The 13,963-nt window shown below is 35.3% G+C and overlaps 1 long non-coding RNA gene across 1 annotated transcript in view; it reads left to right on the top strand.

Moving 5' to 3' along the window:
• Positions 1–13,963, top strand: part of LOC107985698 (uncharacterized) — a 375,495-nt gene that overhangs the window by 358,904 nt on the left and 2,628 nt on the right. The window contains exon 6 of the long non-coding RNA XR_002958819.2: positions 2,416–2,479. This is a non-coding gene — a long non-coding RNA (uncharacterized LOC107985698). The remainder of the gene's footprint in view (positions 1–2,415; positions 2,480–13,963) is intronic.

Genomic DNA, 13,963 nt, shown 5'->3' with positions numbered 1-13,963 from the left:
TGTGTGTGTGTGTGTGTTTGTCTGGTGTGCCTTGTACCAAGTGATGTGCTTGCCACTGACAACATGCAGGCTAGCCAAACATGGCTTCACTTTAGTTCCTTTCTAGACACAGGAGTTGATTCAATGCCTGCCCTGACATCTCCATAATAGTGTCCATTTATCCCTGAGCATTTCTCAGAGAACTGTGTTTCACACCATTCCCCACCCCACCACTCACTTGTTCTCTATTTCTTTTCTTTTAGGCTAGACAAAGGCAGAAAAATGTCCCATTTGTGGCCAAAATAGTGGCAGTAATATAGCCACTCTTCTTTTTTGCTTTGAGTGAAAGCTCAAGGAAGGCTTCGTTTTTCTCATGGAATCTGAAAGTCTGAAAATGAGATAGGAGCTGTTATTGTATTCTGAGACCCACTACTTTCCCAGCTCAAAAAGGCCTTATATGCAGTCAGTAATGATATATTATAGATAGAGGTCAGTCAGAGATAAGGCCATCCCTCTACTTATGTCATTTCTTTGCTCACACATATGAGCATATGTTGTTAGATGCAGCCAGGCCACTTATTGAATGCTTTACTGTTTAGAAATTTCTTTCACCAGATACCCTAAATCATCACTCTTAAGTTCAAGTTCCTCAGATCTCTAGGAAAGGGACACAATGCTGCCAGTTTCTTTGGTAACACAGTACAAAAGTGACCATTGCTCCAGTCCCCAATAAGTTCCTCATCTCCATCTGATACCTCATCAGCCTTTATTTTAGTCCTTTAACCAGTCCCTAGGGAGTTCCAAATTTTCCCTCCTCTTCCTGTCTTCTTCTGAGCCCTCCACAGTGTTCCAACCTCTGTCTCTGTCCTTTACCTAGTTCCAAAGTTGCTTCTACATTTTCAGGTATCTTTATAGCAATACCCCACTCCAATTTTTCAATACAGTACCAATTTTCTGATTAGTCCATTTACACTTTGGTATGAAGAAATAACAGAAACAGGTAATTTATAAAGAAGAGAAGCTGAATTGGCTCATGGTTCTGTAGGCTGTGCAGGAAGCACAGCAGCATCTACTTCTTGGGAGGCCTCAAGGAGCTTTTACTCCTGGCATAAGTAAAAACAGGAGCAGGCATCTTACACGGCAGGAGCAGGACCAAGGGGGGGATGTTACCTACTTATAAGCAACCAGAGCTCATGAGAAGTCACTCAGTGTACAGAACCAAGGGGTAATAGTGCTAAACCATTTATGAGAAATCCACTCCCATGATCTCATCACTTCCCACCAGGCCCCACCTCCCACACTGGGGATTACAACTCAACATGAGATTTGGGTGGGGCACAGATCCAAACCATATCACTGACTTCACCAATTTAGACTAACAAAGTAAGCAATGAATGTAGAGGTTTTGTTTTAATTTATACTGAAGATCTAACAAATGTCAGTTACTATGCTAGACTCCAGAGATGGAATAGTGGCAGAAATTAATGTGATACAGTCTTTGCCCTTAAGGAAGTTACAGACAGCTGTGACTAAATAATTACGTTATAATGTCATAAGTCCTATTTCACAGATATTATTAGTGCCATGGGATCACAAAGGAGCAAATAACTAACTCTGTCTGCATTAACAAACTAAGTAACGATGAGGGTTTAAATAGAACAGGTGCTATTTTTCTGAGACCCAAAACAGAAACAGTAATTTAAAAAATTAACCAGTCTTTAAACTCATAAATGCTTTGTGTGTGTGTACATACAAAAGTCATGTGTGTTTGTATGTATACACACACATAACTGTGTGTGTTGAGTATTTCAGGAAATACATGCTGTATTGCATATTTTGGAGAGATAGTACCTGTTTTATTTAAGAAAATATTTTTAGTGCTTTTGTATTATTCATTTTTATTTATTTAACATAAAAGTGTGTATCACATTTCACCCTATTCATTAAAAACAGTTCAAAATGTTTTTTATTTGGCAAAACATCCTAACTACATTTCCTAAGTGTTGTTTTATAGATGTGTTCTTTTTAACACACGTTAAAGTAAAACCACTGTGTTTAAGTTGTTCTTTTATAGACTTACATCCCTTCACTCATTTGAGCTTGAGGAGGCAGAATCCATCTAGATATATGAGTAGCAAATGCAGCCAAGCTAATATATCTTAGTCAGTTCTAGGCTTTGAAGAAAACCAATTTTAACCTTGGAAATTAATTGGAAATGTGGGAAACTCTGACAACAGGAAACCGGTAACCAAGGCCACTTAAATTGGGTTATAAATGGAATTTCAAATGGAAAATGCTTTAAGATTTGATGGAACTAAGCACTCTAGTGACTCTAGTTTCCTAGGAAGAAGTGTTAAACTTCCTGACTATGGAAGAACAGCATATCCTAAGGGAGATTATAATTAAAGCATAACAGATTTTATTTTTCTTTTTCAGAGGAATTACAAAGATCAAGATGAATTCAGTGAAGCTTCCCATAGGACTGTTCAAAGATCTCCAGGTAAAGAAAACTTTGTTTTGGAAACTGGGGGAAAGAGGAAATGGAATTAAATAAGAGTCCATTGCAGAAGTTAAGAATTTTAGAAAAGAGATAAAGGGAGCAGGAAAGTGAAATGAATTCATGCTCACAAAAGCAGTCAGAGATTAAAAAGGGGCACTGGTGATGGGAAACCTTTATGATTATATGACAGAGAGATCAGAAACAGAATGGATTAGCTAATAAATTGAAGAAACTCCAATTAAAAATGACTATTAAGTATGTGCATTTTCAAGTATATATTTAACAATAATAATTCATTTCTTTTCTAAGAGTTATTTGAGCAAGTTGGAACTAATGGATACTAGGCAGAAAAGCGAACAACCAGGAGCTAGTAATTAAATGAGAAAAAAAATTACATTAGGGAGTAGGAAACATCTGGGTTGGATTCTCATGTCCTTTGTGTGAGTTCTGTTTTTAATCACAATATAAAAAGTTCAGTTCTGTTTCTAGGCAGCTAAGCAAAGTAGGAGAGTAGCAGTGAAAATCAGATATAAGCATCTTTAGAAGTATAGTAAATTCAGTATGGTTATGTCACAAGATGGAGATTTTACAACTATTTGAGAATTTAGTAGTTATGCATAAGATAATATAAAACAATCATTGAAAAATGTGTTTGAAGGCATAATTAGTAGCTGGTCTCCAATAGGCTGTTAATAAATACTTCTGATGGATCAGATACTATTACCTCCCAAATTACAGTACTTCAGGGAGAGCTAGTTGCATTAGACATACATATATCTCTGGTGTATTTTGAAATAGCCCAAGGCATGGCAATAGAAAAGATAAAGTTGGGTATTTTAAGTCTTCCTGATCCTTGTTCTTAGAATATTTACAACCAAGCTCATCATCCAAACTTTCCTAAACCTCTTCCATATCAAAATTTTATATATTCATGCCTAATCCTCTCAGATACTTACTCTCTGCTAGCCAACTAATCAATTAAAAAAAACTGCTGTGATCTAGTGATGCTATATACTTCTGGGTTACCTTTCTGAAGAGTTAAGAATTTGAAAGAGGGTCTTCTGGATATTTACGACCTCAAATTAAGACAAAAATTTTATTCTGACAATAAGAATTCTAGAGAAATATGGCAGGGCATCAGGACAGATTATTTGGACAGGCGAAGCTTTCAAGCATCTTTTTAATCATATTACACAAACTCATTTTTGTCTTTCAAACTAAAATTCATTGAGTATTTCATTATACTGTCTGCTATAATCTGTCTTATGGTGTTTCACATGACTTAACTAGCTTAATTCTCTTAAAATAACTGATTTACTGATGGAGAAATGGAAACTCTATGATTAACCTGCCTTGTGTTACACAGCCGGTAGATTGCAGAGTGGAGACTCAGACTCATCTCTGTCTGGTTCCAGAGCTTTAGTTCTTAACCACTCTTCATAGTGCTTTTATATTGCATTAACTTTTCGTGGAATGTTATAAGGAATGGGATAGGGCCAAAATATCTGAAAAATCTTTTATCCTAAATGTTGTCTATGTGTAGAAATATCAGTTAAGGAACTCCTGGATTTTCTGCATTCCCTCTTATTGTGCCTCCTACTCAGAAAAAGAAGAGTTAATTATCCAATTGGTAAATTTAAGACAAAGAATTGGGCATACAGAACTCAATACGTTCACCCTTTCTCTTTAAGCTCAGTCTTTCTTCAGGGACCATCCATTTTGCTAAGCTGCTTTGTGCCTTAAGTCTTTGAAGGCCAGGCTCTTCTAAAACAGAGAGAGGCCAGCAGCTTGCCATACACTGTCTATGACTGAGGTTCAGCATTAAGAATTCCACCTTTGACACACATGTAATCCAAATTCTTAAATAATTTCGTCAATAATAATGTTGTCATTTAGTTCTTCAGCTACCTTATCCTTCTTCAATCCCCAGTTGCTTCAGAACTCAGTAGTGCAAAAGGGGTGTCAATTACTGATCACTTCATACCACTAGAGTTAATTATGGTTAAGATTTAGAAATCATGTTTTTTAGTAGCAGAGAATATAGCAACCAGAATTTATTGACAGAGAGACAAACATTTGGACAGTAGAATATATCTAGATTATGTTACTTTTTCTCTCCACTAATGTATCTGGTATTGTTTTATATGTAATACAAATTCTTCTCTTGTAAATTTTTTGTTTACTTGTTTTAAAGTATTATTTGATGAGTTATTTCAAGTGTGATTGGAGGGACAGTGTTAATTTAGCATCTTCATTTGTTATGAAATAACAACAAATATATGACTAGATTATTTTAGCAGAAATCCTTTGCTTAAAACATTTTAAAGGTTTAGGTCAACTATAGAAGAATGGGTTTATGGGGCCTAGTAGTATCAAAATGGTGAATTTCCTGTAGTACTCAATCTGGCACTTGCAGCCATATTATCTTCTTTTGTTTTCTAATTATTTCATATGTCTCAGTATTATCTTCCAAATGAGATTAGAAATTTATCTATACCAAGGACAACACATAATGATTGATTTTTATCTTTTAATCCCAATTCTTGCCACTTTCAAGAATGACCAAAGTTCTGAGAATGACCAAAGTTCTGAGTGAAATAAAATTTATTAACTTGAAAGGGAAAAAAATGTAATCAGGTTAGTTATCCACAAGTCACCATGTTTTCTACCTTGAATTACTTAATTTTAAACCAGTTGTTTTAATGTTGGAAAGATATGCTATATGTACCTTTTCATAATTGGGCTCTTTGGAGTAGAGTGTAGGTAGCATCTTTTATCAGTATTTATTCACACAACTTCTAATTAGAGTAACAAAAATAGATTAATATTTTTATGATATTGCCAAAACTTTGGTAGGACTGAGTAAGTTGGTAAAGATGTCATGGGATGAGAGGACACTGCTTTGATATGGAAAAGATTTACTCTTTGTCACTGTCAAATTCAGCACATAAATCATCTCCCATTATCCCTGGAGAAGTAGTGCCATTCATGTCAAATTATGTCTTACGGTTTTCAGTACCTTTCCAAGATGGATGATGAATAGAGGTGAGCTATGTGACTGATGTCAGCTAGTAGGTTTTGGTTTATATCAGATGTCCAACTTATATAAGAAAGAGCATGCCATCTTCTTCTGGAGAATCTCAATGTTGCCTCAACAGTTACACTTTATATATGTCCACTTACTCTTTAATATTACATGCTGAATAACAAGTATGTGAAGATCACACTTTTTTGAACTTGCGCTTTTTTTTAAAATGTCAATTTTTGCATAGTATAATGCAAGTGCTAGTTGCCTTGTCTGGACCTCTAAGTCTTATTTTCTTACTTTAAGAGGTGAATTTAAAAATCCCAATGGAAGCGAATTAAGCTTTGGAAAAGCAGAAAACTCTGAATCATCAGAGTTAGATGACTTTGGCTCTGTGAGTGACTATGATAGTATTTCCCAGCTGATAGCAGACCTTTTTCAGGAGTTCAAATGCCAATTATTTTTGTGACTTCTTCCAAGTCTGTTAAACACTTTGTATTTCAATTGCTTCATTTAAATATACACAATGATGTTTGAAATTTACTATGTTGCACAGAACCAACACCTTCCGTGAACTTCTAGTAAATATATTTTAATAGTGTTATTAAGGATAATAAAAGTTATGAAAGGAATTGGAGGGTTGTCATTTAGTACTGATGATTAACAATTAACATCAAAAGTCTAATTTGTATGTATCATTAGACAGAGTCAAAAATTATTACGTTAATATGAAATGGCATTATTTGTCAATAAATAAGGAAAAGTTCTCTTAATTAAAAACAGCATTATCTATGAAAGAAACTGAGCCCTTATTCTGTACTTTTAAAATAAAAGTGTTGCAAAACAAAATTTTGAAAATGAAAATTATGTACAATTCCCTGAGATATATTTTTACTCTGATTTCTTCTTGTGAGTCTTGTAAAATATTGTTTACATTTAAAATCCACTTTGAAGTGAAAATGATTAAATAGGGTCCTATCTCAGAGTCCTTACTGTCTTAAGCTATATGCAGTAAATGGGAGGTTTTCAGTTTTGCAGCATCAATAAAACAGTTTGTTTTTAAATAAATTCAATATAATGGGACATTTCAGGTCTCCAGAAGACCATAGGAGGGAAAGAAAAGTGAGAGGAAGAGAGGTAAATACTCTCTACAGATCAGAAGTTTCAACCATGGAAACAAAAGAATGATACCTGCTACCACACAAAGACACATAAGTGCATAGCCACAGACCATATAAAGCAACTACACATCAAGACTACAAGGCAACTAGCTACCAAGACCACTACAGGAACAAAACCTTACCTATCAATAATAACCTTGAACATAAGCAACCTAAACACTCCACTCGAAAGACACAGAGTGGCAAATCAAAAAATCAAGACCCAACCTTCTGCTGTGTTCAAAAGACTCATCTCATAAGTAATGAGACCCTTAGGCTCAAAGTAAAGGGATACAGAAAGATCTACAATACAAATGGAAAATGAAAAAGAACAGCAATCACTATTCCTATGTAAAATAAAACAGACTGAACCACCAACAGGAAAAAAAAGATGAAGAATGGCATTATATAATGGTAAAAAGCTCAATTGAACAGGAAGATTTCACTATCATAAATAAATATGCACCAAACATTGGAGCACCCAGATTTATAAAACAATTACTACTAGATCCAAAAAAAGACTGACACTCACACATTAAAAGAGGGGAACTTCAACATGGCACCATCAGCATTTGATAGATCATCAAGGAAGAGAACTCACAAAGAAATTCTGAGCATAAACTTGACAGCTGACAAATTGGAGTTAATAGAAATCTACAGAACACTCTACCCCAAAACCATAGAATATACAAAATTATCATATACATGTAGAAGATACCCTAACACATTCAAAAATATTAAAATCATATGAAGCATACTCTCAGACTATGGTGGAATAAAAACAGAAACTCATATCAAGGTGAACTTTCAAAACCATAAAAATACATGGAAACAATACAATTTGCTCCTGAATGACTTTTGGGTTAACAATGAAATTGAGGCAGAAATTTTCAAAACTATTTGAAATAAATGAAACGAGTGACACAATGTACCAAAGTCTCTGAGATATGAAAAAAACAGTGTTAAGAGGAAAGTTTATACTGCTAAACACCTACATCAAAAAGATGGAAATATCTCAGATAATAAACTAATGTTACCCCTAAAGGAACTAGAAAAAAACAAGAACAAACTAAACTCTAACCTAGCAGAATAAAAGAAATAACTTAAATCACGTCAGAAATAAACAAAATTGAGACTTACGAAACCATACAAAGCATCAACAAAATGAAAAAAAGTGGTTCTTTGAAAGAATAAATGCTACCAATAAACTGTTTGCTTGATTACCAAAGAAAAAAAATGGGAGTAGATCCAATAAAGGACAAGTAGAAATGATAACGGTGACATTACAACCAATCCCACATAGATACAAAAGACTTTCAGAGATACTGTCAACATCTCTATGCACACAAGCTAGAAAATCTGGAAAAGAAAAATGAATACATTCCATTCCATACACAACCTGTCAAAATTGACCCAGGAGGAAATAATAACTTTGAACAGATTAATATCAAGCTACAAAATTGAATCAGTAATAAAATATCTACCTGCCAAAAAAAAGGCCTGGACTAGATTAATTCACACACAAATTCTACCAGATGTACATATAATGGCTGGTACCAATTTTAATGAAACTATTCCAAAAAATTGAGGAAGAGGGACCCCTCCAGATTATGGTATCATCCTGATATCATAAGCAGGTATGGTATTATTTTGATAGTATAATCTGGCAAAGACATGACAAAAACAAAACTACACGCCAATATTTCTGATGAACATGGATGCAAAAATCCTCAGCAATATATGAGCAAACTGAATCCAGTAGCCCATAAAAGACATAATACAACACAATCAAGTAGACTTATTCCTGGGATGCAAGGATGGTTGAATACATGCAAATCTATAAATATGATTCACCACATAATCAAAATTAAAAAGCAAAAACCATACGATCATCTCAATAGATGTAGAAAAAGCATTCTATAAAATCCAACATCTCTTCATGATAAAAACCATAAAAAAAGTAGGCACTGAAGGAACATACTTTGAAATAATAAGTGAAATTTGTGAAAAACCCACAGCCAATATCATACCGAACGAAGAAAACGTAGAATAATTCCTTTTAAGAACTGGAACAAGAAAAGGATGTCCATGCTCATCACTCCTATTTAATATAGTATTGGAAGTCCTAGCCAGAACAATCTGGCAAGAGAAACAATTAAAAATCATCTCAAGAGGAAAAGAGGAAACCAATTATTTCTTTTCACTGAAAATAAGATTCTATACTTAGAAAATTTTAAACATTCTGCCAAAACACTCCTAGGTCTGATAAATGACTTCAGTAAAGTTTCAAGATATGAAATCAATGTACAAAAGTCAGTAACATTTCTATACATCAATAGAATTCAAGCTGACAACCAAATCAAGAATGCAATCCCATCTATAATAGCGACAAAAAGAAGAAAATATCCAGGAGTACATCTATTCAAAAAGGTGAAATATGTCTACAGTGAGAACTACAAAATATTGATGAAAGAAATAGTTGATGAGACAAGAAAATAGAAAACTATTCTGTGCTCATGGTTTGGAAGAATCAATATCGTTAATATGTCCACATTGTTCAATGCAATCTACAGATTCAAAGCAATTCCTATCAAATTATTAATGTAATTTTCCATAGAAATTGACAAAGCTCTTCTAAAAATCATATGGAACCAAAAGGAATCTGAATAGCTAATGAAATCCTAAGCAAAAAGAGCAAAACTGGAGGAATCACATTACTGAACTATACTATACTATAAGGCTATATTAAGTAAAACAGCATGTTACAGGTAAGAAAAAATGGACACATAATTGGTCGGGTGTAGTGGCTCACACTGTAATCCCAGCACTTTGGCGACGAGCTGGGCAGATCACAAGGTCAGGAGATCAAGACCATCCTGGCTAACACGGTGAAGCCCCGTCTCTACCAAAAATACAAAAAAATTGGCCGGGCGTGGTGGCGGGCGCCTGTAGTGCCTGTAGTCCCAGCTACTCTGGAGACTGACGCAGGAGAATGGTGTGAACCCGGGAGGTAGAGCTTGCAGTGAGCCAAGATTGCACCACTGCACTCCAGCCTGGATGACAGAGTGAGACTCCGAGGTCAGGAGATCAAGACCATCCTGGCTAAAATGGTGAAACCCAGTCTCTACTAAAAATACAAAAACAAAAATTAGCCAGGTGTGTTGGCGGGCGCCTTTAGTTCCAGCTACTCGGGAGGCTGAGGTGGGAGAATGGCATGAACCTGGGAGGCAGAACTTGCAGTGAGCCGAGATTGCACCACTGCACTCCAGCCTGGGCAACAAAGCGAGACCCCATCTCAAAAAAAAAAAAAAAAAAAAGAAAGAAAAAGAAAAAAGAAAAATAAAAAAAGTGGACACATAATTAATGCAACAGGATTGAGAACCTGTAAATAGAGCCACACACCTAATGCTGGGAAAACTGGCTAGCCACATGCAGAAGAATAAAACTGGACCTGTACCTCTCACCATATACAAAAATTAACTCAAGATGGATTAACGATTTAAATATAAGCCCTCAAACTATAAAAACCCTAGAAGAAAACGTAGGAAATACTCTTGAACGCAGGCTTAGGCAAAGAATTTATGACTAAGTCCTCAAAGGCAAATGAAGCAAAAACAAAAATTCACAATTGGAACCTAATTAAAATAAGGAGCTTCTGCATAGCAAAAGAAATGGTCAAAAGAGTGAACAGACAACCTACAGAATGGGAGAAAATATTTGAAACTATACATCCAACAAAGGACTAATATCCAGAATCTACAAGGAGCTTAAACAAATTAACAACAACAAAAAACAAGTAACCCCATTAAAAAGTGGGCAACTTTGGGAGGCGGAGGCGGGTGGATCACAAAGTCAGGAGATCGAGACCATCCTGGTCAACATGGTGAAATCACGTTTCTACTAAAAATACAAAACAATTAGCTGGGCGTGGTGGTGCATGCCTGTAGTCCCAGCTACTTGGGAAGCTGAGGCATGGGAATCACTTGAACCCGGTGGGGGTGGGGGCGGGGTGGAAGTTGCAGTGAGCTGAGATCGCGACACTGCACTCCAGCCTGGCGACAGAGTGAGACTCCGTCTCAAAAAAAAAGGTGGGGGGAGGGGGCAAAGGACATGAATGGAAACTTCTCAAAAGAAGGAATACAATCTGCCAACAAATATACTTTAAAGATGCTCAAAATCACTAATTATTAGAGAAACTGAACTCAAAACCACAATGTGATACCATCTCATACCAGTCAGAATGGCTATTATTAAAAAGTCAAAAAAAATTACAGACGTTGGCAAGGTTGCAGAGAATAGAGAACACCAATCCACTGTTGGTGGAATTGTAAATTTGTTGAGCCTCTGTGGAAAGCAGTTTGGAGATTACTCAAAGAACTATGAAGACAACTACGATTCACCCCAGTAACCCCATTACTGGATATATTTGCAAAGGAAAATAAATTGTTCTTCTAAAAAGACACCTGCACTTGTATGTTTCTTACAGCACTATTCCCAATAGCAAAGACATGGAATCAACCTAGGCGCCCTCCCATCATCGATTAGATAAAGGAAATGTGTTATATATACACTATAGAATACTATACAGCCACAAAAAGAACACAATTTTGTCCTTTGCAGCAACATGGATGCAGCTGAATGTTATTATCCATAGTGGATTAACATATTCTTACTTGTGAGAGCTAAACATTGGGTACACATGGACATAAAGATGGGAAAAATAGACACTGGGGACTCCAAAGTGGGGAAGGGAAGGAGAGGGGAAAGGTTAAGAAACTATCTTGGGTACTATGTTTCACTATTTGGATCAAGGGTTCAATCAAAGCCCAAATCTCAGCATCATGCTATATATCCATGGGACAAACCTGCTCATGAGCCCCCTGTATCTAAAATAATTTCTAAAAATAATTTTAAAAATAAAAATAAAATGTTTAAATGGTTACAAAGTCAACAGTTTCATTCTGTTGTGAATTACTATTTTCTATCACGTGGGACCAGCCACACTGAAGTGTGATTAGATCATTGAAGACAAAGTGTATCCTAAAACATATGGAGATGTAGAAAAGAGAGGAAAGAGAGTGAAGAAGCAAACATTTCTTTACCATACTCTCTATGCTAGCTGCTTCATAGATGTCATCACAGCAGAGACAGAGGACTGAGATCATGAGGACTTCATGATCTCCAGAGAGGCAGAAACAAGTGCTATGCCATTTATCGCCATTATCCTTCTCCCAAATGCCAATGCCATTTATTAGGCTTCCAATAGAAAACAACACACTTGTTTTGCTGTCTGATATGACTCAACTCCTCCTATCCCCCAACAATCTACTTTTGAAAGTTACTGTATCAACCCTTTATTTCTGCACTCAACCTTAGCAATCTCACAGTGTTAAGTACATGCTGATTTCAAAATTCCTGTCTATATTACTAAGCAATAGAGTGAAAATTTACATTCAAGCAAACGATGCCTCCAGCAAGTCATTTCATCAAAATAGACTTTAAAATATATCTTAGTCATGATTGGTGAAAAGAGACAAATCAGGTGGTTCCTGGGATGTTGAATGTCTGCTTTCACTAGGGCGTCCTTCTACGGAAGGTATTTTTGAAGGTTTTTTTTTTTTTAATTTCAACTACTTTTTAGCCTCATGTGCTTAAGATGAAACACCATAGAAATGAAATATGCATACCTTGAGCTAAGAGAACTGGAAGAATTATAATGATAATTAAATCAGCCTGGGTGGAGGTGGAGAGAATGATTAAGAAGTAAAAAAGTTTTCTGGAGGAGCTGAGGTAATATCCAAGTGTTAATGGCTGAATAATTGAGTTTGTGGGAAGAACTTTCAGACACAGAGGTAGCATTAAGCAAAGTAGCAAAGTCAAGCACCATCATAGTGAATACAAGTAAGTAAAGGGGAATAGGAAATGTTGGAGCATAAAGTATAAGTGAGGAAATGAGACTGAAAAGGTAGGCAATTATTTGATTTCTTGTTTGGGCCAAAGATTTTATCCCTGACACATCATAAGAAAGAAACTTTGGTATTATTAATCCTGTTGTAAGAATGGATTTGCAGTGATTATTAATTAATCCTGTTGTAAGAATGGATTTACTGTACTTCGTTACTAACAAGTTTTGTGACAATAGCACCTCTGGGGTAGACAAGCTGTGCAAAATTTAGAGCATCAGAGTCAGTCAGATTGCTATGCTTGGAGTTCAGATTACCACAGTTCAAATCAATTGAAAAAAATAAAATTAAGCCTAAAAGAATGTAAAGATGGTTTATGTGCTATTTGAAATTAATGTCTTGTACATCTCCAGCTGAATCAAAGATGCAAAGGGAGGAATATATGTATATTCATAGCATGACTTCAAAAAACTTCGTTAAAGTTAGTGTTTTCCCTAGGAGGAAAATATAATAAGTCAAACTTTTGATTTGCGAGTAAATTGTAAATCTGATGTTAATAAGTATCTGTCAAGGGAATTTGGTATTCTGAGATTTGAAATTATGCAATGGATAGAACTAATTTTTAACAGCAAGGTAACTTGTAAATATCTGTAGGATGTATTTTCAGCACAAAAGTACTTGCTTTGTTGCCTACATTAAAAGGAAATGCAAAATAAAAGTGAAATTTCTTTGTTGTCTCATACTTTTTTACAACTGTTTCTAATCACAGTAAATAATAATACTTGGAGAAAGTTTTCTCACGTTTATATTTTATTTTAAAATTCTATTATGTATCCAAAAAAGTTAGCAAACTGTCAGGTGAGTTGATTGTCCCTTCACAAACTGCAATATGCTTGAATATCCAGGTTTTTAATTATTTTTTTCTTGTAGGCATCTATATTTCTGCCTATATTCCTAAACAATAGAGTGAAAATTTAAATTCCAACAAACCATATATTTGGCATATTGTTTAGTTGAAACTACCTTAAAATATTTGAGTCATGCCTAACAAACAGAGGAGAATCATGTAGAGTTTATGGCTGGGCCTTATAATTTGTCCATACTTCTTAGGTTTAATAAATCAAAGGGGGTCCTTGGGCCACTTACTGTGGAAACCTTCTCATTGAGATGGTTCATTGGCCAAATCTCCAAGTTCTAGTGGTGGCTTCATTTGCACATAAAGATGTATTTAAATTCCTGCATTCTCTTTCTTCTCGAACTGCAATTTTACATCTTATTTATTCTCTTTCAATAAAATATTTTCTCTTATAATATTAGATAGAAACAGTTGAAGAATTATTTGTCCTGGACAACAGATCTTTGTAGAGCTCCTGTTATCACATGTTGCCTACACACA

Source organism: Homo sapiens, chromosome X (genome assembly GCF_000001405.40).
Source record: "Homo sapiens chromosome X, GRCh38.p14 Primary Assembly".
Taxonomy (NCBI): domain Eukaryota; kingdom Metazoa; phylum Chordata; class Mammalia; order Primates; family Hominidae; genus Homo; species Homo sapiens.
Note: the sequence above shows the minus strand (reverse complement) of the source record. Positions and strands in the feature narration are given on the sequence as shown.